At 46.5% G+C, this 24,015-nt stretch overlaps 1 protein-coding gene and 1 pseudogene across 29 annotated transcripts in view, besides 5 other annotated features; both read right to left on the bottom strand.

Moving 5' to 3' along the window:
- Positions 2,381-3,024: an enhancer, noted in NCBI's record as "NANOG-H3K4me1 hESC enhancer chr18:8425475-8426118 (GRCh37/hg19 assembly coordinates)". NCBI's record gives its function as "activates a minimal SCP1, AML or CMV promoter by ChIP-STARR-seq in naive H9 embryonic stem cells {active_cell/tissue: H9 hESC(naive)}" and the evidence as "EXISTENCE:reporter gene assay evidence [ECO:0000049][PMID:30033119]".
- Positions 3,025-3,668: an enhancer, noted in NCBI's record as "NANOG-H3K4me1 hESC enhancer chr18:8424831-8425474 (GRCh37/hg19 assembly coordinates)". NCBI's record gives its function as "activates a minimal SCP1, AML or CMV promoter by ChIP-STARR-seq in naive H9 embryonic stem cells {active_cell/tissue: H9 hESC(naive)}" and the evidence as "EXISTENCE:reporter gene assay evidence [ECO:0000049][PMID:30033119]".
- Positions 4,545-5,168: an enhancer, noted in NCBI's record as "H3K4me1 hESC enhancer chr18:8423331-8423954 (GRCh37/hg19 assembly coordinates)". NCBI's record gives its function as "activates a minimal SCP1, AML or CMV promoter by ChIP-STARR-seq in primed H9 embryonic stem cells {active_cell/tissue: H9 hESC(primed)}" and the evidence as "EXISTENCE:reporter gene assay evidence [ECO:0000049][PMID:30033119]".
- Positions 5,914-6,414: an enhancer, noted in NCBI's record as "H3K4me1 hESC enhancer chr18:8422085-8422585 (GRCh37/hg19 assembly coordinates)". NCBI's record gives its function as "activates a minimal SCP1, AML or CMV promoter by ChIP-STARR-seq in naive H9 embryonic stem cells {active_cell/tissue: H9 hESC(naive)}" and the evidence as "EXISTENCE:reporter gene assay evidence [ECO:0000049][PMID:30033119]".
- COP1P1 (COP1 pseudogene 1) lies at positions 13,870-16,516 on the bottom strand (annotated as a pseudogene).
- Positions 21,276-21,920: an enhancer, noted in NCBI's record as "H3K4me1 hESC enhancer chr18:8406579-8407223 (GRCh37/hg19 assembly coordinates)". NCBI's record gives its function as "activates a minimal SCP1, AML or CMV promoter by ChIP-STARR-seq in naive H9 embryonic stem cells {active_cell/tissue: H9 hESC(naive)}" and the evidence as "EXISTENCE:reporter gene assay evidence [ECO:0000049][PMID:30033119]".
- Positions 21,645-24,015, bottom strand: part of PTPRM (protein tyrosine phosphatase receptor type M) — an 839,541-nt gene continuing 837,170 nt past the window's right edge. For all 29 annotated transcript variants that reach the window (XM_011525708.3, XM_047437715.1, XM_011525712.3 and 26 more), the window contains one exon: positions 21,645-22,392. In XM_011525708.3, coding sequence (XP_011524010.1) covers positions 22,339-22,392 — 54 coding nt within the window. In that variant the 3' untranslated portion in view covers positions 21,645-22,338. The remainder of the gene's footprint in view (positions 22,393-24,015) is intronic.

Here is a 24,015-nt window from a genome sequence, read left to right as displayed (position 1 = left end):
GACACTGCATGGATGCACTGAGTGTTTTTTTTTTTTTTTTTTACTGTCGTGTTCTGCACTGGGGAAGTTCCAAATACAGACATTCCGCTTTGTATCATTGCCAAACTGGAAGTGATTTTGTGTTTTATTCAAGCATTTCAACCACGCTCTGATTAGAAAACTTTTGATTTACCACGTTCTGGGAAGAAATGAATTATCTAGAGCAGAGATAAACCTGTGGTCTAAAAATGGGTCTCAGTGGTGTCCATGGAAACTGAAAAGGTCACATTTGTGTGAGTGACTGTATGGTTTGCAGATGGGAGAGGATTTAAAACTTTCTCAGATTCTCAAATGGGTGGGTGACCCCCTCAGTGGTTAAGAGCTATTTCCTGCATAGGAAAAGAGTTCACTCACTGGCTCTTGGAATTTCATCTCGCATGTTGCTCAGGTAGTTTAATAGAATTTACGAAGGGGCCACAAAGGAGTCTAATGTCAGTCACTGAAGAGTAAAAATTAGAAGCTGATGAGAAAAGGCCAGGTGCAGTGGCTCACGCCTGTAATCCCAGCACTTAGGGAGGTCAAGGTGGGCAGGTCACCTGAGGTCAGGAGTTTAGGACCAGCCTGGCCAATGTGGCGAAACCCCGTCTCTACTAAAAATACAAAAATTAGCCGGGCGTGGTGGCACATGCCTGTAGTCCCAGCTACTCAGGAGGCTGAGGCACGAGAATCACTTGAGCCTGGGAGGCAGAGGTTGCAGTGAGCAGAGATCACGCCACTGAACTCCAGGTGACAGAGCAAGACTCCATCTCAAAAAAAAAAAAAATTGGAATAAAAAACAAAACAAAGGCACCTGAGGCCAGTAATTCAATTCACAATTGCCAAAAGATGGAAACAACCCAAGCATCTACAAATGGATGAATGAATACACAAAATGTAATATATACACACAGGGGAATATTATGCAGCCTTGAAAAGGAAGGGAATTCTGACACATGCCACAACATAGAGGAACCTTGAAGGTAACATGCTAAGTGAAATAAGCCAGCCATGAAAGGACAAAGAGTTGACAACTGCACTTATATGAAGTACTTAGAGTAGTCAGGTCATACAGAAAGAAAGTAGAGTGATGGTCGCCAGGGCCTGGGGGAAGGGAGTTGTTCTTTATTGGGTACAACTTGGGAGGATGAAAAAGTTCTGGAGATGGATGGTGGTGATGGTTACATGACAATGTAATGTAGTTAATGCCACTGACCGGTACATTTAAACTGGCAAATTTTATATCCTCTAAAGATAAAAAACAAACAAACAAACAAAACGACTCTAGAGGCCAATATCAAAATACTGGAGTCTTATATAGGGGTGGCCAGCAGATTGCAAATCCGGCTCTGAGCAGCCGAGTCTCCAGCGTTCCTCCTCAGAGAGTGAGGGGCTCACCTGGCTTATGAAGCAAAACACTTTGTTATAACAGCCACTTAAGTACCAACAATTAAAACCAATACCTATTTCACGGTCATTTAGACATGTGACAATTTGCTAATGCTTTTGTCAGCTAATGAGATCAGAGAGAGAAGGAGGATTACGTTCTAACTAATATATATAATTTTAAATGAGGATAATAGACAAATAATTGGTGTTTTATGAAATAGATAGAGATTCTGAGATAGTGCAAGGAAAAGGGGAGATGGGTAGATGGACACAGACCCCCTATTGAGTCAGCAGATGAGCAGAAAGCCAAGCACTCTGACCCAGGTGGGTCACGCACACCCCAAATCCAATGTTTCCAGCGCCAGGAAAATCTCTTGGGCACTGCCAAGCAGACAGGAGCTGTTAGGTCCAATCTGTGGCCTGGAAGGGTGCAGCCGCCCGCATGCGTACCCATGAATCTCACATTCTCTTGGCAGGCTAGAGCAGGCCCCGGAAAGCCTGCACGCTGCCCCCTGCTGGCGGGGATTCCAGCACTGGCCTGGCTCCAGCAGCGAGGTCCCTGGAGAGTGACACTTCTTCAATACCTGCGTTGCTAGTCCCGTAGTCCTGGTCCCTTGATGGGGTCACCTCGAGGAGCAGCTGTAGGCTGATTTCCAACATTGCCAACTTACGCTCCTTGGAAGTGGCAGGTGGGCCTGAAACACCCTCCTAATGCAGCAGTCATCTGTCCTCCCAGGGAGGTCCCACTTAGAAGGAGGAATGGCTGGAGTGCCTCCTCATGCCCTCTGCACTCCCTCCAGCCCCCGCCTCCAGGCTGGGCCTCCGTTCTCATTCAGTGGGTGTGTGGGGATGGCTCTGTCACAAAACTCATCCTGGGGCTCTGTGGCCAAGGCCAGGGCAGGAATTCCCCCACCCCAAAGGAGCTGCGTTCTGCCGGCCTGTGGATAGTGGGCCCACCTGTCACTTCTAGGGAGCATGAGTGCCCCCCAGGGGATGAGCTCAGCTGCTGGGGCAGGTGAGGGCGGGGCTGCTATCAGCTTCCCTCCCCCGAGGAGGCCTCTTCCTGGCACTCCCCACAAAACCCTGCATCTCCATCCTTCTCCAGGGTCAGGCAGGCATGCTGGGGCAAGGCAGGTGCAGTGGGCAGGGAAGCCCTGCAGGTGCTGGAGGGGAAGGTGCCATTCAGCAGGGGACTGTCACACCCTGAGAGGCCTCTGCACAGGTGCTGGGACCTGAGAAGGCAACGCCAAGTGCGAGTTTAGAGTGCGAGTTTAGCATCATCCGTTTCAATGCTCCCTCCAGGTGGCCGGGGGCTCCATCCAAAGGTCCAGGAAGTCGTGGGCACCCTGTGCATGTCACATATGCGAGCGTCTGAGCTGGCCGTGAGAAGTCCAGAATGGCTCTGATCCACTCCCCCTTGTGACCGCTTCTGAGTCTTTAAATGATGACAGGATCAGTGCTCTGTGCTGAGATTGCCAGTCCTGTCCTGTGGTTTCAGGCTGGTGGATTGCCCGAGGCCACTCTCTGAGTCACGCTGCAGGGCTGAGTGCTTGTTGCAGCGAAGACACCCCCTGGCATTCATCATCTGCTCCCAGGCTCACTGATCTGCACTGCCTCTTCCTTTTGTCCCATGAATTAGCTGCTAATGTGCTGTCTTTCGCGTGGGAGGAAGTGGAGGAAGCTGCCTCGGTGGAAATGCCCCAGGTGAAAACTGCCAAGGCCACACTAGTCACAAGACAGCAGTTCGTTTTCAATAAGGGGAGAGAAGGAAAGGAAGGAAGAACCCAGGCATGTTCTCAAAATATGCAGTATGCGAGGAAGAACTTAATTGAGTTGATCAGATGCAGGAATTAAGATACAGAGATTAGATACACTGACCAAGATCAAACAGCCCAAGAGCCAGGCGCTGGCTGCTGGGACCCAGGCAGTTGGCCCCAGATGCCCAACACCCCAGGAGGTGCTGTGGGGCTGGCAGGTGGGGTCAGCCTGAGTTCAAATCCTGCAGCTGCCCCTGTGCAGCCGTGCAGCCTCAGGGAGGCCACTCACCCTCCCAGAACATCAGTTTCTTCACTTGTAAAATGGGGCTGATTACGTTGGTTTCCTGGGGTCCTTTGGGGGAGTAAATGGCACAGTCCACCATGGGGGCAAGTGGCTCCAAATCTAGTCTTCAATACACCAGGAGCAAGGGGCAACTTTCAGAAATGCTTTTAATTGAGTTAGCTGTGGCAATTACATTTTCATTCGATTATCTGTGTTAACAGAGAGGGATAAAGGGCATCTTAATGTTGCTTTAATGAACCAACAGCAAACCTACATGGGCTGCCAAGCAGCGTGTGGCCAGGGCTGTGGCATTGCCACTGTTTACAGGACCCCGCTGGGTGCTCTTGATAACCGAGGGTCGAGGGCCCCTCCAGCCTGAGTCATCACCGGCCTCCTTGCAGCCCAGACACAGCAGGGAAGAGCACCAGCCCCCTCTGCCTGCCCACGGTTGTTAGTTATAATAGTTAGTATTTCACTTACCACACTTTTCACTCTATCCATCTATCCATGTGAAAGTCCTTTTTTTTTTTTTTTTTTAGACAGAGTTTCACTCTGTCACCCAGGCTGGAGTATAGTGGCATGATCTCTGCTCACTGCAACCTCCACCTCCTGGGTTCAAGTGATTCTCCTGTCTTAGCCTCCCGAGTAGCTGGTATTACAGGCACGTACCACCACGCCCAGCTAATTTTTGTAGTTTTAGTAGAGACGGGGTTTCACTATATTGGTCAGGCTGGTCTTGAACTCTTGACCTCTGGTGATCCACCTGCCTCGGCCTCCCAAAGTGCTGGGATTACAGGTGTGATCCACTGCGCCCGGCCGTGAGCGTCTTTTGTAGGTATAATTCCTTACCTCGAATACTCACAGTGGCTGCATTTTACATCTGCATAGCTCTTTTAATTTTCACCACAGCTTCCTATTTCATTTTGTTCCACACCACATACATGTTTGTGTGTGCCTTCAACAGGCAAGGAAACTGAGGCAGGGAAGAGCCCCCCAGTTGGCTGTGGCTAGTTTGGTTTCATTTCTGTTTGACAGGAGGCATGGGGAGCTTGGGAATACAGTCTCTGGTTTTGAGTCACTGTCCTGTTCTTTTCCCAAATAGTCTTGAGAAGCACCCAGTGAAAATGGGTTTCTAGGGATCACCCATGACTTAAATGGTACATTTAGATTCGAACAACTAGAGAGGGCTGAGGGGCTGGCCCCGCTTCTCTTACGGGAAAAGGTGAGCAGGGTCAGGTGCTCCCCGATCCCAGCAGCACATGCGGGGGCAATCATGGTCACACAGCTCCCCTAACTCAGATCTTTAATTCAGTGGGCTCCAGCTCAGCACTGGCACAAGAGAAAGCACTGGAAGCTCACGCCAGGGTCAGAGACAGAGACCTGGTGCCAGCCCTTTCATTGCAGAAGCCTACCCACCCCTTCCTAAAGGGGGGCGATGTGGAAGAGACAGCCCCACAGAGAAGGGAAGGCTTCGTAATAGGACCTGTTATCCTGGTGGTTTGGAGCTGATGCTCACACATGCTGCCTACACGGACACAGATGTTTCCTTAAGGACGAGCTCCCACCCGAGGGACAGTGCAGACCCGGGGGCTGCTGTGGCCATGGTGAGCTGGGATGATCCAAACTGATGAGAGGGCTTAGATTTCCACAAGCAAATGTCCTGCCCCTGTCCCATGAGTCATCAGCGTTTCTCTTCCGGGCTGAGAAAAATCCAGACACTTCAAAGCCTGCCCAGGCAAACCCTCAACCCATGGGACTTACATGCAGAGGAAATCCAAGGCCCAGGGATTTTCAGACTGTTTTCTCCAGAGCCGGAGGGCCCTGCAGGGGCAAGGCTGTGACTGGAACCGGGCCTGGGAACAGTGAGGAGAGGGGACCCACGAGGGAGGCTGTCACCAGCACAGAAGGCCGCCTGTGAGCTGTGCAGGCCCAGGGCTGGGAGATCGCTCCTTTACTCTGAGGCACTGCCTTCACCTGAACAGGAGGGAGAAAAGTATTTTGTTTTATATCATTGTGCTAAAATACACATAACATAAAATTCACCATTTATATCATTTACGTGGACACTTCAGTGGCATTAAGTAAATTCATATTGTCGTGCAACTGTCACCAATCCTTCTCCAGAACTTTTTCATCCTCCCAAAGTGAAACTCTGTACCCGTCAAACACGAACCCTCTTAGCCCACCCATCCCCCAGCCCCTGGTGGCCGCCACTCTATTTTCTACCTGTAGGAACGTGACTGCTCTCAGGACATCACGCCAGGGGGATCAGACAGTATTCGATCTTTTGTGACTGGCTCACTTCACTCAGCATAATGCCTTCAAGTTCATCCATGTTGTAGCAGAAGTCACAATTTCCTTCCTTTTTAAGGTTGAACAGTAATAGTATTCCTGTATGTGTATATCCCCATTTTAAAAATCCTTTCTTCCACCAATGGAAACTTGGCTTGTTTCCACCTGTTGACTCTTGTGAGCAATGCTGCTATCAACATGGGTGTGCCAATGTGTTGGGCTGTCCTTGCATTGCTATAAAGGAATACCCAAGACTGAGTGATTTATAAAGAAAAGAAGTTTAATGGGCTCACAGTTCTGCAGGCTGTACACGAAGCATGGTGCCAGCATCTGCTCAGCTTCTGGAGAGGCCTCGGGGAGCTTTGACTATGGTGGAAGTCGAAACGGGAGCAGGCACGTCACATGGCGAAAGCAGGGGCAACGGTGGGGGCTGTGGAGGTGTCGCACACTTTTTAAACAACCAGAGCTCATGAGAACTTACCTGCTATCTCTAGGCCAGCACCAAGCCATGAGGGATCTGTCCCCATGACCCAAACACCTCCCACCAGGCCCCACCTCCAGCCCTGGGGATCACATCTCAACATGAGATTTGGGTGGGGACAAACATCCAAACTCTACCAACCAATATCTCTTCGACTCCCTACTTTCAGTTTTTCTGGGCAAATACCCAGAAGTGCAATTGCTGGATCATGCGATGCTTCTCCATTTAGCGTTTCTGAGGAAACACGGCACTGTTTCCCACCGCGGAGGGACCACTCGCCTTCCCACCAGCGGCGCAGAGGGTTCCAATTCCTGCACTTCTCCAGGCGCCCGGCCTGGGCTGCTTTCCCCTGACAACCTCACAGAGGCCGTCATCAGACCCATCATCTGAACTTGGCTTATGTCCTCCATGTGCCCCATCTGTACAGTGTTCTCTGCGACCTGTAATTTATTCACTTTTGTGGTTTTAAAATTTCTTCCTTGACTAGATTGTTCATTCCCCGGGGGTGGGAACTGAGACCACTTTGCTCATTGCTGCCAAACAAAATACAAAACACACACCGATTGAACGAATCTCAGGCAACATTCAAGTGACCTCGAAAAGTTATTCTGAGTCTGTTTCGCTCTAAAAAGTGGGGAGAGCATATATATCATGGGCTTATTTAAAAGTTAAGGAGAGTAGGCTGGGCATGGTGGCTCACGCCTGTAATCCCAGCACTTTGGGAGGCTGAGGCGGGTGGATCACCTGAGGTCAGGAGTTCAAGACCAGCCTGACCAACATGTTGAAACCCCATCTCTACTAAAAAATACAAAAAATAGCCAGGCGTGGTGGCAGGCGCCTGTAATCCCAGCTACTCGGGAGGCAGAGGCAGGAGAATCACTTGAACCCGGGAGGTGGAGGTTGCAGTGAGCCGAGATCGCACCACTGCACTCCAGCCTGGGTGACAGAGTGAGACTCCGTCTCAAAAAAAAAAAAAAAAACAAAAAGAAAAAGAAAAGTTAAGGAGAGTAAATACGCACAAAGAACCTAGGCTTGATTTTGGTATAGAGCAGACAGTTGCACAAATGGAGAAAGAACAGAAAGTATCGCTCTCGTGGAACTCAGCCTCCACTCTTTCTGCACGTGACCTTGAGGTCACTCCTCACAGTGAAGTTGGAAAACCTCTGAATTAGCCTAAAACCTTCATTTTATAGTTGAGGAAACTCTAAGGTAGAAATAAGTTTCTTCTTCCAAACTACCTCTCCACTCTCAGTTTGAATTCTGATCAGCCAACAACCCTCCGGTTGAGATCCTGCCCTGATGACCAAAAGGAGAAAGCTGTGGCCCCTGTGGTCCAGCCCAGAGGCTGAAGATGGGCTTGAGGCCTGTGGCATGAACCTGGGGCCCACACAGAGCCGGGATGAGCGTCTCTAACCTCAACACCTGCAGCCTCTGCACTTGCAGACCTTGAGTGAAGGGCAGACCTAGAATGTGCATCGGGCCAAGGCTGAGCTCTGCTCCCTGACAGGCCTGTTGTTATGGATTGAATTATGCTCCTAAAAAAGGTATGTTGAAGTTGTCACCCCAGTGCCTGTAAATGCGACCTTATTTGGAAATAAGTGTAGATGTAATTAGTTAAGATGAAATAGGATGGGCCCTTAATCCAATATGACTGGCGTCCTGTAAAAGGAGAAGAGACACGGAAACACACAGACATGCAGGGGAGACGGCTATGTGAAGACAGAGGCAGTGACTGAAGCACCGCAACTGCAAACCAAGGACTCCAAGGATGGCCAGCCACACCGGAAGCTCGGAGGAGGCAAGGAAAAGTCTCCCCAACAGGTTTCAAGGGAGCAAGGCGCTGCTTGTACCCTAACTGTGGACTTCAGCCTTCAGAGCTGAGACAATACGTTTCTGCTGTTTCCAGCCCGAGCCTATGATGTTTTGCTGTGGCAACCCTGGAACTCAATCCAACATGTTGCATGAGAGGGCCTCCCAGGTGGTCAGACCAGTGAGCAAGTTCAGAGCTTGCTCTGCGGTTGTTGCTTAGCTTTGCTCGTTCACAGTTCACACTCAAGTTGCTTGTCATATTCCAGTACTGCCTGTACTAATATTTGCAACGTATTTTTTAACCGTTTCACTTTTTGATGTTAAATAATGTATTTCAAAAGGAAACTATATCTCTATAGCACATCAATCCTAGAGAGAATGTCTTGGTGGTTGGTGGACTCATGCTATTAGAAAGATCTGCTAATATAATCATACACCAGTTCAGATTAAGTCAATGTGAAGATACGATTTTAAAAGAAATGACAACTCTTAGAAAAAATGTTCCAATAGCAACATCAGAAACAGCATTTTTCCAACACCACAGCTCACACACATGCCTGGGACCCAGATTTTGGTCTCTAACATCATTCTCCAACTGAAAGAAAGTAAGACTCCGTTGAAGGTTGATAGGATTTGGTTCTGTATCCCCACCAAACCTCGTGGGGAACTGTAATCCCCAATGTTGGAGGTGGGGCCTGGTGGGAGGTGATTGGATCATGGGGGTGGATCCTTCATGAATGGTTTAGCGCTGTGCCCTTGGTGCTGTCTCGTGACAGTTCGTGAGTTCTCATGAGACCTGGTTGTTTAACAGTGTAGCACCTCCCCCAACCTCTCTTCCTCCTGCTCCGGCCCTGTGAGATGCCTCCTCCCCTCTTTGCCTTCCGCCATGATTGGAAGCTTCCTGAGGCCTCCCCAGAAGCAGAAGCCGCTATGTTTCCTGTACAGCCTGCAGGTATATTTGGGGGCAAGAAAAGAATTTCAGGATAGGTAATATTAAGTATTAAAAATGGAGTGATTTAAAGAAAGAGTGAGTTTAATAGAATATGCCTCATCCTTATTATTTTCAATAGTGGAAAAGTGCTGCTGTCTATGGGTGTCCTGTGTCTTTGGTAAACACATGTCTATTTAGCAGATACCTTGATGGACCAGCATGAGCAGGAAAGAGTGACCTGAAATTGGTGAGTCAGTTAAAATCATGGCAGCATAAAAAGGAATGGTGTCATGACGAGGAACGTGTGGATGGCAGATGGGAAGTAACCCACCTGTTGGTCAGCCTTGCTGCTCTCACACACTAACCAATTAAAGAGGAGTCAAATATGCGTTCCTGCAGAACGCAGATGTCAAATGTCCTTAAAAGAAGAATGAGCCAGCTCCAGACTTACTCCATCTTTTCTCAAAGGGGGAAACCTCCGGATAACTCTACTAATTATAAAGAGATACTAATAAGACATGTGCCCATAAACTTCCAATTATGCTAATAGACCAGAATAATAAATCATAATTATTGGACAATAAGGAGAGGTCAAATACAAAACTTAAAGACCATTTCATTCCCGGGAAAGACACCAAGTCTCCAAAGTTACCATCATTAAGGAAGACAGGAACATAGAAGTCCCAGGGTATAACCAGTGCAGCTTCTTTGTAATAAAAAGAAACATCCTGATGGCCAAGCTCAGGTTTGAATCTGCTTGGTCTACATAACCATGTCCTGACCAAAAATCAACAGGTCACCCAAACGAGACCTGCCAAGTCCCAGCGGGATCAAGAAAATATTCTCTTACTTTGGAGTCTGGTAAAATTTGTGAAATTCCAGAAAGGTGAAAAATAGGAGTTACTGAACTCGTAGTTACTGAAATCTTAGGACAATGTAAAGAATGTAACAGTGAAAATATACAAGGAGAAGAGGATCAAAAAAGGACACTGATTAAAGTCTTGGTATCCACATCGTCGTAACTGCTTTTGGAGTAAGGGTATTAATCAATTTAGTAATCTATTTTTCATGTGTGAGACCAGTTTGCATTTGAAGGGTCTTAGAACATCGAAGGAAGTTAATATGTTAGAATTGAGATTTTAATTAAATGCCTGAAAGTGCTGGGTTAAGTTTGCAATCTAGGTTCTTATTGATTGGGAAAATTTGTTTTGTTAAATCCATAATTTTTTATTTATTAGTTGTAAGTAAGTATATATATTTAGGACGGTGTTGATTATTTAATATCTCAAAGAATGCTAATTATCTAATAAATTCCAAAGATTAATAGTTGGCACATTGCCTAAATTACAGTTACTAGTGTGCATTCCTTTTCCTGCACAAATTCCCCTTAGACACTAAGAAATCCATCACTTTTCCAAAGTGGAAAACCAGCACTTTCCAATACATAGTAAACTAAATTCAGAAGTGTTATGAAAATAAATACTCATCTTTACACCATCTACAATCATCTTTTGTACCATACTTGGGGAAATACCCCATGGGTAGAAGTTTCCAGAACCTGGACTATAAGGAACTTTGACCTACACCTTTAAGTTTCTAGGCTAGAAGTACCTCTCTCTGGAACCTCCAGAACTGGATGCCAGAATTAGAGCCTAAGTCAGAGGTACAGAATTACCCCCCAAATCTCACAGCTTAAAATAACAAATATTAGTGACCTTACACAGTTTTGGAGAGCCGGGAGTCAGTATGGTTTGGGTGGGAGGCTCTGGTGCAGTGTCTCTCATGGGCTTGCAGTCAAGGTGTAGGCTGTGGGGCTCAGGTCATTGGATTGCCTGGGGCTGGAGGATCCATTTCCCACTCAGTCTATGACTGCTGGGTCCTCGCTGGCAGTTGGTTGGAGGCCTCGGTTCCTCATCTGTGGGGCTTCTCCAAAGGGGCATTCACCCCTGTGCCTTCTCATGACCTCATCCTGGAATTGTACACCTTCATTCCACTTTGTCCTCCTTGTTACAATTGAGTCACTCAGTCCAGCCCATATTCAAGAAGATGGGAATTAGGCTCCACCTCTTGCAGGGAGGTTCAGCAGAGAATTTGTGGACCTATTTTGAAACCACCACCGCTCCCCTAAGCACGAGTGCTGGAGAGGAGGTAAGAGTTGTTATTCTGATGTGGGACACAATAGAATGCGCAGTGGTTGCTCCCACACTTCAGACTTCCCTTTACAGAGTGTGTGTCATCCAGGGCTGAGACACTGTATCACCGCAGCCACTTAAACACCATTAGCTAGAATAAAAACAAGTGACGATGACATGTTGTCTGCTGTTTGCCTGCATTTTAAGCTCCCTTCCTTTAAAACAGGTACCTTTCCTTTGGCTTTCCACAATTTTTTCTATCAGGACCAAGACCAGTAATCGATTCCTTTATCCTTTCTAGCCTGGGCTTTACAGCAGTTTCTCAAGAAAGAGCAAGCATTTTTTTTTTTCTGGGTGTTTCAGAGTTTGTCAAAACCCAGAACAGATTTTCCAAGTATATAGGTTTTGCCTGCGCAGACAAAAGGGCTAGCAAGTATACTGTCTGCTGATTCCTGCCTTCGTCCACTTATTCTACCAGTACTAATAAACACAAAGTGGCAGGCACTGTGTGAGGCTCCGGGCCCTACAGGGCTTCCAGTCTGGTGGGTGACTCAGACGTTGAACATGTGGATACGGGGACACTGAGCTTTAGAAAGGAAGGAGAAGAGTCCTAAGAGACAGATCAGTGAGCGTAGCCTGCAGGGCCAGGGAAGGCTCTCTGGAATGAGGCAGGATACCTTTCTGAGTTGGTGTTTCCTTTCTGTTATCATTTCCCTTTCCCCCTGGAAGCAGGAAGTGAGGCTTTCTGAGTCTTAGCTTCCAGGACCTTTGTTAGTGGGAGGAGAGCACACGGAAATAGTTGTTACAGGTGTCCCCAACGGGGAGAGAGAGAGACTGGGAGATGTTGCACAAGAGAGAAACAATGTCTCAGGACTGTGGAGAGAGAACAAACGAACTATGCAGCCATCTGTCCTTGCAACCCCAGGAGGTGGCAGGACCCCAGAGAGGCTGTCTGGGTGGTGCACACAGAAGGCAGGGCTCTGGCCACCCGGCTGCCCCGCCTTCCCCAGTGTCCTGTGGTCCAGGCAGCTCCAGGAAACAGTGGAGCCTGCAGGTCCCATGACCACACGGACTGGACAGGGGTTTCCAGGCAATCACAGGCAGAGGCAGACTGATGAACGCTGACTGGACGCTGGGGGCTTCCCGGCATAAGACCCCAGGATTCTGTAAAATTTGGAGGGTAGGGTAGAGTGAAAGCCTCAGGAAAGACGGAGATCTAATTTTCCTCCAGCCTGGCATGATAGGGCTGGAATCAGATATAAGTTGACTGGAAGAAGGTTCTGACAGTGAAACTTGCATGCCCTGTGTTTGTGGGATAAGTCACGCCACTAAAGCTGGAGGATGGATATGGGGAGGAGATGGAGAGAGGGTGGAGTTGCTTTCAAGGCTGAGGGCAGAGCATATGCCAGTGTTTTGAGATAAGAAAGAGATGAGATGCAGAGGACCTGAAGGAGGACTGTAGCCCCTAGCAGGGAGTGGAGTGGAATGAGGTGACTGGCCATATGAGACTGGCTGAAGAGCCAGACCTTCGTCTCAAAGCCACTGGGAAGGCAGGGAGTGGGAAGCAGGGATGAGTGACAGCCTCATATTTGGCTTTCCTAAGGATCAGTCTGGGTGCAGACTGGAGGGTGGATTGGAGGAACAGGATCAAATACTAGGAGAAGAGTTTGCCAGTCAGGTAGAGACCAGATAAATGAGGCTTGGAAGCACCCTGCTAGTGGAATTAGAGAGATCAGAATGGATCTATGAGATATTTAGGAGGTTGTCTGAGAATGCTTAGGTTCTCTGATCAAGCACCTGGGGAAATGGGGTGTGAAATACAGAGGCAGTGAGAAGGACCTCCCAGGGGAGAGGAAGCAACCCGCACCTTCCGTGCCCAGGGGGCCTCAGAGACCATTCCTGCTCTTAAGACTTGTCTTTTGAAGGAGGGAAATGAATGATGTTTCTCTGAATTAGGCAAAAATGGGGTGAGGATGGGTGTGGAAACGTAACAGGTATGAGGGTGAACAGCTTATTTTTCCTGTGGAGCGGGGAAGAATGCCATTGCTATAGCATAGGTAGCTTTAGTGTGGAGAAACCTTAGATTATTGGCCATGAAGAGTGTAAAAAGAAAGATGGATACCATGAATTTATAGCAGCAATAAGATACTCATTTGGGTAATTTTTTTTCCTAGCTGCTCTCAACAGCTTGGAGTATTGAAGAAAGCAGCCGGATGGGTTTCTTTATTTGTTGTTGTTGTTTTTTTTAATGTTCAAAGTGGGTTTCTGGTAGGCAGCATATAGTTGGATCTTTCTTTTTATTCAATCTGATAGTCTCTGACTTTTAATTGGGGTGTTTAGCCCATTTACATTTTAATGTGATTATTGATATAGTTAAGTTTAAATCTACCATCTTGCTCTTTGCTTTCTATTCATCCCATCTGTTCTTTATTCCATTTTCCCTCTTTTTCTGCCTTCTTTTGGATTAATTGAGTCTCTTTTAGATTCCATTATATCTTTTTTGTTGGCTTAGTAACCGTAACTCTTTGCTGTGTTATTATAGTGGTTGCTCTAGGGTGTATGTGTACATCTTAAACTTATCACTGTCTGCCTTCTAGTGATATTATACTTCATGCATACTAGAAGAATCTTATAGCAGAATACTTCAATTTTTCCCCTCCCAGCTATTGTTGTTATGCCTTGTACTTCTGCATGTTGTAACCTACATAATTTTTATGTAAAAATTATCTTTTAAAAATATTTAAATAAGAAAAAAGTAATATATACATATTTATTTATTCGTGGCTCAATAACCTTTTTTGTTATTTATTTTTATTTCAAAGAATGTGTTTCCCTATCACAAAAATTAGATAACCACAACCACACCACCAACAGTAGCAATGTCCATGGAGTCGCACCGATGGTGGAGAGTTCACTGGGTATTCCCAATGTCCCAAAGGTCACAAAGGAGGAAAAAGAGAAAAAGAAAAATACTCAAAAACAAATCCAAAACCCATGATGACTTTGGGGAGAGACATCACATGACATTTTCTGTTTCTTCTATCATTGTCAGCTGCAGAGGTATATCAGCAGGATCAAGTACATTTAGGGTTGAGTAAACCCTTCGTACCAATTCTAGCACCTTAATTGTACCCTCACTGTTAGCAGCAATCAGCATGTTGAACTCTCCATCTGGTTGTGCCCTCCAGCACGCAGCACCAACAAATTCATTTGTATCATCTTCTTTTCCTTCTTTGTCCAGAACACTTTTGACTGTATCAAACTTAAAAGTTAGCAAAGTCTTAGAAAGTGCTTTATAGCACAGGTTGAGAGAGTTGTTCTCACTTCCACAAGCTATATACTCTCCACGGGAAGCAAGGCCTACAAAGTTCTTTTCATTGATATGACCCTTGAAGGAATGTAGGCAGTACAGTTTCCCTACATTCCACAGTGTTAGCTGGCTGTCTGTTGAGGCAAAGACAATTTCCTCACCACTCGCAAACTTTGCATAAGAGACTGCTTTTTGGCGTCCTTTGAATACCATGATTGGCTGTTTAGTGCTACGAAGATCATAGTAATGGACACAATGATCCGCACAGCCAAAAGCCAAATGGCATCTGGAAGAGCGGCTGAATTTAACACAGCACACATCAGCCTTTGCCTCAATGCTTGCCACTGAGTTGTCTAGACCGGTAGATCACAGCTTCACTTTTACATCATCAGAACCCAAAGCCAGGAGTTTAGGATCCATCAAATGAAACACTTCAACACCTCTTCTCACGCTCCTGTTAGACCTTTGACCTCTGTCCTGTGAATCCATCCCATAGGATAACAATGCCTTCATAATCACTGCTAGCTAACAGGTTCTTATGGTAACTACTCCAACTGATACAGCTGATTTTGGAATTGAGGTCATTTCATTCACACGGTAATGAATATCCACTGCATCCTGGATGACTGTGCCATATTCATAGACTTTAATCTTCATTGTAACCTCAGCAATTGCAAAATAGTCACAATCCTGGTCAAATTCAATACCAGAGACTATCCTGGAATCATTATAGAGATCACTAGGGCATGATAATGTGGCTAAAGTTCATATTGATTTATATTGAGTAACCTTGGACAAGCATTTCTGAAGTTCATCCAATTGGCTTGCAGTTCAACTGTCATCTGAGATACGAGACAACCTTGTAGAAAAGTAACAGTGCTCCAGGTCTTCAAAATGAGCAGTGGGCCATTTTAATTTTGATGTTAATGTGCTGTTATATCAAGGCTGTTTCTTTGTCTAAGAACTGCCACTGAAACCTGGATATTGGCTATATTCTGTGGAATCCATAATACTACTGTGTGATGCAGGAGGAGCTTCAAGTTGAGGCACTGTGCTATCCTCACTGACAGGAGAGTGTAAGCCACTCATTTCTTCCACTCTTTTAATATCCTCTTCCAAAACACTTAGCTCCTTCTGGAAGTGTCCCAGTTGCTCTCTCCTATTTCTTCTTGCAACCTTGAGGAATTGTATAAGATTCTGTAGTTGGGCTGCATGTGATTCTGCTTCCAGTTGTTTCTTCTTCTGAACTAGTAACTCCAACATGAGGTTGATATTGGCCAAATCAAGGTTATCTTGGTCAGTTCCCAACAAATCTTGAAATATTCACCACCTGTGGCCATTGGTGCTACTCACTGAGTGGTCCAATTTGAACCTCTTCCTCAAATCTTTGCTTCTGTTTGAGAATGAGCTCATTCACCAACAAATTAGGAAACAGATGGTTAGTATTGTCCACAACATAGTTATACTTGGTACATATATTATTGTCCTCCGAACTCTAGTGAATCTACTTATAGCAAAAGCTGTGGCCTTATTTTGTCGTGTATGCCTCTTCAATCATATCAAAGCAGATGGGGCATATGAAATCATTGCTGTTGTCCTTATATGAGTTGATGAGCCTGTTGGAGAGGGGAGGGGCAAGCAGAGGTTGCTTCCTGCTGCTGCCTAGGCTACAGCTGCTGCCTCCTATACCAGCACTGGGGCCTGGGCATGCAGCTGAGCCGGGACAGGACTATGGACAGCACCCTGCCACTGCCTGACACAGTGGGCACCACCAACACAGGCCACACTGGGCCCCAAGGCTATCCAAGCTGGTGGCCTGGGCCGCCCCACTGGACAGCAGCACTACTGCCGAAGCTGCCACAGCGGCGGCAATGGGGAAGACGATAAGGACAAGGAGGCTAAAGTCACCAAAGAGGCTGAGGAGCAGGGGCTCATCCCAGTGGAGTCTGACCCGGCATGGTGGCTACCAGACATTACGACTCCCTCCCATCTGGCCGGGCACTTGGATGAGAGGGACCATGACCTTGACCCTTTGCCACCTCCCTTTTCCTCAGCCTTAGTGTATCCTGAGAATGCCTGCTGTGCTGGGAGGTGGGAAGAAAAAAGTATTTTATATTTCTCCATTTAATTACTCTTTCCAGTGCTCTTCATTCCTTTGCATAGATGCAGATTTCTATTTGAGATCATTCCCTTTATTTCTTGTATCATGGGCCTTTTGGGGATGAATTCTTTCAACTTTTCTTTGTTGGAAATTTTCTTTATTTTACTTTTACTTTGGAAAATATTGTTTCTGGGTACAGAATTTTTGGTTGATATTAAAAAAATTCATTCAGAACTTTAAATTGCTGTTCTACTATCTTCTGACTTTCAATGTGTTTGAAAGGAAGTCTGCTGTCATTCTTACCTTTCTCTGCACACAGTGAGTCCTCTCTGGCTGCTTATAAGATTTTCTCCTTGTCATTGGTTATAAGCAATTTGATTATGATGTACCTTAGTATAGTTTTCTTCATGTTTCTTGTTCTTGAGGGTTTTCTGAGCTTATTGGATATGTGGGTTTATAATTTCCACCCAGTTTTGAAAATTTGGGCCATTATTTCACTAATTATTTTTTTCTGCCCCTTCTCCCTAACTTTACTGCGACTCCAATGGTTCATTCATGCTCTCTTCATTGTTTTATTTTTGCCAATATTGTCTTTCCGTGTTTTTAGATTGTTTTTACTGATGTCTTCAAGTTTGCTCATTTTTTCTTCTTTGGCGCCTAATCTGCTGTTTACCACATTTAATATATATATATTTTTTGTCTCAGGCTTTGTAGTTTTCATCTCTTGAAGTTCAATTTGGGTTGTTAAAAAATATTTTCCATGTCTTTGCCATACATGCTAAATCTTTCCTCTTTTTGAGAATCTGGAGTACAGTTATGAAACAACTGCTTTAATGTGCTTGTCTACTAATTCATTGGTATTATTTCTGAGTCAGTTTCATTGGTTGGTTTTCTCATCATATGTCATGTTTTCCTGATTCTTTGTGTGCCTAGTAAGTTTGGATTGGACGCCAGACATTGTGAATTTTACTTTCTTGGGTGCTGGATATTTTTGTATTCCTGTAAATGTTCTTGAGTTTTGTTCTGAGGTGCAATTAAGTTACTTGGAAACAGTTGGATGCCTCAGTTATTGCTTTGTTAGGCAGGCCCACAGCTGTGCTTAGACCAGAGATAGTTTTGCCCCACTACAGAGTCAAAAACATGAGTGCTCTATTCAATGGAAACAGGAACTATTCTGGCCTGTGTGAACTCTGAGTATTGTTCCTTCTAATCTTTTCAGGTTTTTTTTTTTCTTTGTAATGTCCTTACAAGGTTGTTGTGATCAGTACTTAGCTAAAGACTTGAGGGGGACATTCTGAGATCTTCAGAACTCTTTCTCTACGTAGCTCTATGTCTCATACTCTGCCCTGCAGATCTTTGCCACTTTGGCCTTTTTGACTTTCAGCCTTATCTCCTCAAATAAGAGAAACCATGTGGCTCCACCTGGATCCCCCCTCCCTGCACCCATGTTCTAGAAGTTCTCTCAGGCCATAAGCTAGGGCAATCCTAGGGGTCACCTAATTTGTTTCCTGTTTCTTGGAGATTGTTATCCTTCATTGCCTGATGTCCAGTATCTTGCACACCATTTTTAAAAATATATATATTTCCCAGTTATTTCTTACACTTAGGAGGGTAGATTGGTTTTTGTTACCCTAGTTTGTCTGAGATCAAAAGTCCTGGAAGAGTTTCTCTAAAATTAACCATTTGTAGAGTGGATATGATGGAAGTATGAAGTGTCAAGGGCATTGAGAGGGTGTTAGCAAAACTGGTTGAAGTGATACATCATGGGGCTTGGGTTGTTCTGTGGAAAAGGTAAGAAAGGGTGCAGCACTCAGGATTGGGCTGAAGGTTTTCATAAATACAAAGAACAAGAATAAAAGAATAAGGCAAAGATAAAGCTAGCAGTTGAAGAGGCTGGAGTCAGAATGTGGCATGTTTATTCAAGATTTCAGAGGTCAGGCAGTTCAAGGTGACAGGCTGCAGGGTGTGACCATCAGCTCAAGTGGAGTATGAGGGTGGTTGTTGAAATTGATTAAATCTTTGAGACATGAAAGAATGACTTACCTCTATTTGAGAAAGTTTCAGAGGGAGCATTTCCGTGGAGTTCGGGGAAAGACAGCCTCGTTAATCAAGCCTGTGTTAATCAAGTTTATTTACAATGGAATAATGTTTCCTTAGGGCATACTACAAACGACTTGGAGCACTGTCGCAGTAGAAGGTGTTAGGATGAAAACGCATAGTAGGACAGAGGGGATGGTATATGGGAGGAGCCTTGACTGGCAAGCCACATGTTCCAGGGATGAGATTTGCTAAGCTCCAGCCAACCAGCCTGCAGATGCTGAGGTGCTGGCTGATGTGGGAGGTCTGCAGCTGGCCAGCAGGTGGTGGCCAACCTCCCAGATGGCTCCAATGATCCCCACGCCCTGGTATTTGTGCAGTCCCCTCACATAGTGAATAGGACTGACTTTTGAAACTATAGGATATTGTGGCAATGACAGTATATAATTTCCAAGGCCAGATCATACAAGAAATTGTGGCTTCTGCCTTGTTCCATTCTGAATCCCTGGAAGAAGCCAGTGCCATGCTGTGGGGACAGTTAAGCAGCTGTGGAAAGGCCCACATGGGGGGAAACTGGGGCCTCCCATCAACAGCCAGTTGCACTTTGCCAGGCCTGTGACTGAGCTACCTTAGAAGTTTATTTCCAGCTCCAGTCAAGCTCTCAGATGACTGCGGCCCTGACCCATTTTGATGGCCACCTCACGAGCGATCTTTGAGCCAGAATCATCCAACTAAATCATTTCTGAACTTCTGACCCACAGAAATGGTATGAGATAATAAATGTTCATTGTTAAGTTTCCAACTTTGGGGACAATTTGTTATTCAGCAGAAGGTAACTAATGCACGTTTTAGTCCTGGCACTAGGATACCTTAACAAAACCTAAAAATGCAGGCATGAGTTTTGACCCAGTGAGCAGAGGCTAGGAGGGCCCTTAGGAGAGAGGTGGAGGAGCTCACACCATTGTTATTCACCTGCGGGGCCCACAGCTGCTCCACTTTCTGAGTGTAAAAACAATGTGGCTGCTGTTTCCCTTCTGCCTCTACGTCTTACACCAAATGACCCCTGCAGCGCACCCCATCTGGAAATATACAGAGAATGGAATTCTGGAAACACACCTCAGTCTTGCTGTGCTGACACGTTACAAAAGCATCATGAGGTGCTGCTGTGAAGCTGACTTAGAGGGGGACCGTGCCAGGGGCAGGACCATCAGCTTCCAGAGCAGTCACAGGCTTTGAAGTGTCTGGGGGGTTCCGGATGCCACAACAGAGGGGAACCCAGAGCACTGCGAGAAGACAGAGAAGGACTCTCAGCCAAGAGGGTGGCTTCTCTTGCTTGCGAGGGGCAGAGACTTTCTCAGTGTACTGGAAATAACAGGTCTCAACCATGCTGTGAGGCCTCGTGGGAAATCTGAAAAAGCCACAAAATGCCTGTGCCTTTTTTTTTCTATCACTGTTTCCGCTAAAAGGTGAAATAAGTGAAAGAAAGATAAAAATCCAAGAGATTGAAAACAACTGGCTCCCATGTGAGACCGGGGTATGACGACGCAGGGAATGACTGGGAAGTGGCGGTGTCATTAGACTCACACATCTGAGGTCACTTCCTCGCCATGCTCAGATGAGCCGTCTTTTCACCCATGCTGACGGACTGGAGCCCAGAGCCACGCCGCCATGATCACGGAGGGCCAAGGGCTTCACCACACTCCCCTGGTCAGGGCCCAGCTCACCCGCAAAGGGTGCAGCGGTCCATATGTCTTCATCCCTATTCCTATATCCTGGAGAAATCATTTGGAAGAGGGACAGACAAAAATAGCAGCCTGCTAGTCTCTTAGGAGCTTAGCAAAGAGAACTGGGTGGGATGGCGAGGGGCCATCCTCCAGGAGGAGTCTGAATGTGAGGCATTGAGTACAGACTCGAAGCTCCGCTGCAGCCAGCTCTTCCTGGGGGAGGACAGGGTCCCACCCACCCAGTTTAAGGAGGGGTCTAGAGAAACTTACACCAATCGGGGCATATAGATTGCTCAGGGTACAGCGAAGCAGTAAAGGTCTAACACGCAGATGTCCAGGTCAGTCCTCTTGGAGGGCAACCTCTGCCCTTGAAGTCTTTGGTCACCAAGATCCCCAGAGCAGGCAGGAACAGTGCCCTCAAGCCTCTCCACTTCCCACAGCGGGTGGCGGGCCAGTCTCTGTCTCGGCACTAGCAGACTCTGCTCCTCTGCCATGGTGAGGGTGCTGCCCTTCCACCTCCCATGGGCTCTGGAGGCTTCTGGCACTTGCTAGCCAGTGTGACTTTGGACGGGTTATTTAATCTTTTCTAGCTTGAGTTTCTTCATCTGTCAGGTGGGTTTCGCAGTTGTACCTGGCTCATGTTTGGGGAGCACGTGCTACCACACAGGAAGATGCTCTGCATGGTATCTGGTTCACAAGAGGTGTTCGACAGAGCTTTGCCTCTGTCAGCTCTTGGCAATCGTTAACACAGCCTAAAACCCAAGCTAAATGCAAGCTGCAAGGCCACCGTGCACCTGCCTTCTGTGTCAGCGGCCAGAGCCCAGGGTGGCGCAGAGCAGGTGCTCTGGTGGGAACTTGTTCAGCTCGGTGTCCTTCAATGCACTCTGATTCTCTAACCCTTTAAAAACTGTTCTCTCAGCAAGTCTTAGGTTGGCCTGAGGCATAGAGAAGAGAGATATTATCCCCCGCAGACTGAGGGGAAACAGAGAAAGGAAGACGATGCTCCAGTTAGCAAGTCTCTGCCATGGCCCCTGGCCTGGCTGCCCCACAAGGTCAGGGCTCACGCCCCATGGTGCAGGCTCATGGCTGAGCCTCCCCGGCACCAGGGCAGGCCACCGTGAAGGGCTCAGTGCTCTCACTGACGAACACTCTCTCTCAAAAAAACTCTACTCTACTTGCTCCGGCAAACAGGCCCCGGCCGCACTCTCTCCCCCTGTGTGCTGGCGTGTCGGGTGCGGCCTCCACCGCCTGTGCACTGGGACACCAGGAACATGCCACGGCTGCTCACGGGTCATCATTTATTGAGATGAGAATTCACATAAAGTAACATCATACAGAAAATCGTTTCCAGGCCTTAAGAAAAATGATTGTCACTCACTGTGCTTCACAAAAATTTCTTTTAATGAATAAATAATTTGATGAAATCAAAAATATTTACAATATAAACACATGGAAAAGCTCTGGGTCCGTGAATCTGATCGTTGAGTTTTGCATTTTGTGAACTGAGTCCTCCCCCAAGCTTTTCCCTTGGAAACAATACAAATCTGACAGAAACGACGACTCATACAACATATCTTTGTTCATTACACATTTATCTGTTAGTCCTGGAAAGCTACATAAGCATATATTATGCAACATGTTAAAGTACAAATATTACCTAAAATAATATATTACCATAATGCCAGATAGCATTCTCCACAGAACAAAAACATACACTCAGCTGTAACAATAACGAGGGTCACGGGCCACAAAATAATACCCCAAAGGTACAAATTCCTTCATAAGAATATAGTTGTGCTCTTCAGTTTACCAGCTGTCTACGCTGCTCTAGGAAGCCGGTGGCAAGGAGTACGGGATTTGGCAACTGTGGCTGTGTGTGTGTTTCTGTCAGGCAGCAGCATTACTGGGATTGGGCAGTGCAAGCAATTTTAGAAACACTTTCTTGGGCTCTTAAAAAGAGCCAATTATGCAAAGCAAAATAAGCATATTGAGAAGTCTTCATCTCTTTTGCACAAATACCATGGAACGTCTTGGCTTTGTGGTATGAAAGGGATTGTTTGCAGAGCTGTTTACACCATCAGCCAGAATTCAAGTATTCCAGGGCCACCTCGTAGCAGAACTTGTACTGATCCTGGAAAACAGGAGGGGAAAGTGTCAGCTCAAGAATATCTCAACGCTGTTCCTAGTAAAGCAATTACCATAGAGTAGGGTCTTAATGGGAAGACATCAATCTGGGAGGATTTGAATTAGAAATGAATCAGAAAGTCACGGTTCTGAACTCCAGATACATTCACTGTTTGGAGATGCTCCCCACAATGCTGGGTGGAAGGTATTTTGCTACCTGTGCTGGCTAGAATTCCCGGAAGGTTCTGGACACTTGGAACTCTAAATATGTTTGTCCACACATGTATTTTCCAGGATATCAACATGCTGAGCTTTGTGCAGGAGGGTCAGGGGTAGAAGAGAAAGTAACGAGTGCTTCAGGAAATGCCTTCCTGACATCTCTCACAAGGCCCTTGGTACCTAGATGAGGCCTCATGCATGATCCAGCTTTACCTTTGACTTTCAGTCTGTGGGAATTCCTCAATCTCATGAGAATTTCATAAGCACCTCCTGAATACCAAGCCCCTTGACCTGGTCCCTGATTTTGAGAAGTCCGTGATCCAGTGAGGAGGATGAGACAGGTAACCCAATGACAACACATGAGGTGGAATGGTCCCTATGCTCAGGGGACGGCAGGTCTTCTTAGGGAAGATGGCAGTGGGAAGTGGACAGCGCCTTCCCCAGAGGACGGAACTGATGCGTGGAGTGGAGGCAGCCTTGGTTTGCCCTGGACGGTCCTGGCTTCTGCCTGTTGTCCTGGCATAACCCTCTTTCACTCTCAAAGTGCCCTAGTTTGGATAAAGTACGTGGCCATCCTCACCCGTTAATTAAAACAGGCATTCCAGGCGGAGGCAACAGGACGAGGAAAGGTACAGAAGGGGAAATGTTTGAGATCCTCTGGGACCCATAGACCAGTTCTTCATCAGACAGGGAATTAATTTCTCCCTCCTTTCTTTTTTTTTTTTTTTTCTTTTTAAGAAACATGGCCCTTTGTCACCCAAGCTGGAGTGCGGTGGTGCAATCATGGCTCAACACAGCCTCGAACTCTTGGGCTCAGGCAATCCTCCCACCTCAGCCTCCTAATTAGCTGGGATTATAGGCACGAGTCACCACATCCAGCATTGGATTCATTTTTCTTGAGCTCAGCTTTCCTGGATCGTGTACCTTGGCCCAAGCAAGCTCTGCACAAGGTCCTGGCTGAGGTGTGGTCTCGGGTGGCCGGGGAGAGCATTCTGCACCTGTATGCATGGAGTGTGCTGATAGAACCAAGCCTGGGAGTGGTCTCTGAACCCAGAAGAGGGACGCAGGGCTTGAGGAAGCCTCTGCCTGCCACCTGGCAGGAGCCCGGCCCTGGACAGAGCCTTAGCAACTGGAAGGCTCTCTTCTACTTCTGGAGCAGACAAGCTTTCACATGTGTGAGCGAGGTTCAGCACCACTGTCTCTACCCATCACAGCCACAACCAAGGAAATGTATCTATTACTTTTCATTTTGCCAAATTAATTGAAAACGTCCAGTATTTCTTAAGTGCCTCCTAATTTGTCACTGAAATTTCCTTTTCTTCACCTACACTCTGTTTTGTAAATACCCTAGTAGTCCAACCTATTTATTTGAGGACAAGGGACACAGTTTATCTCTCTTTGTATAAAGTAA

The sequence above is a fragment of the Homo sapiens genome, chromosome 18 (genome assembly GCF_000001405.40).
Source record: "Homo sapiens chromosome 18, GRCh38.p14 Primary Assembly".
NCBI classification, from domain to species: domain Eukaryota; kingdom Metazoa; phylum Chordata; class Mammalia; order Primates; family Hominidae; genus Homo; species Homo sapiens.
Note: the sequence above shows the minus strand (reverse complement) of the source record. Positions and strands in the feature narration are given on the sequence as shown.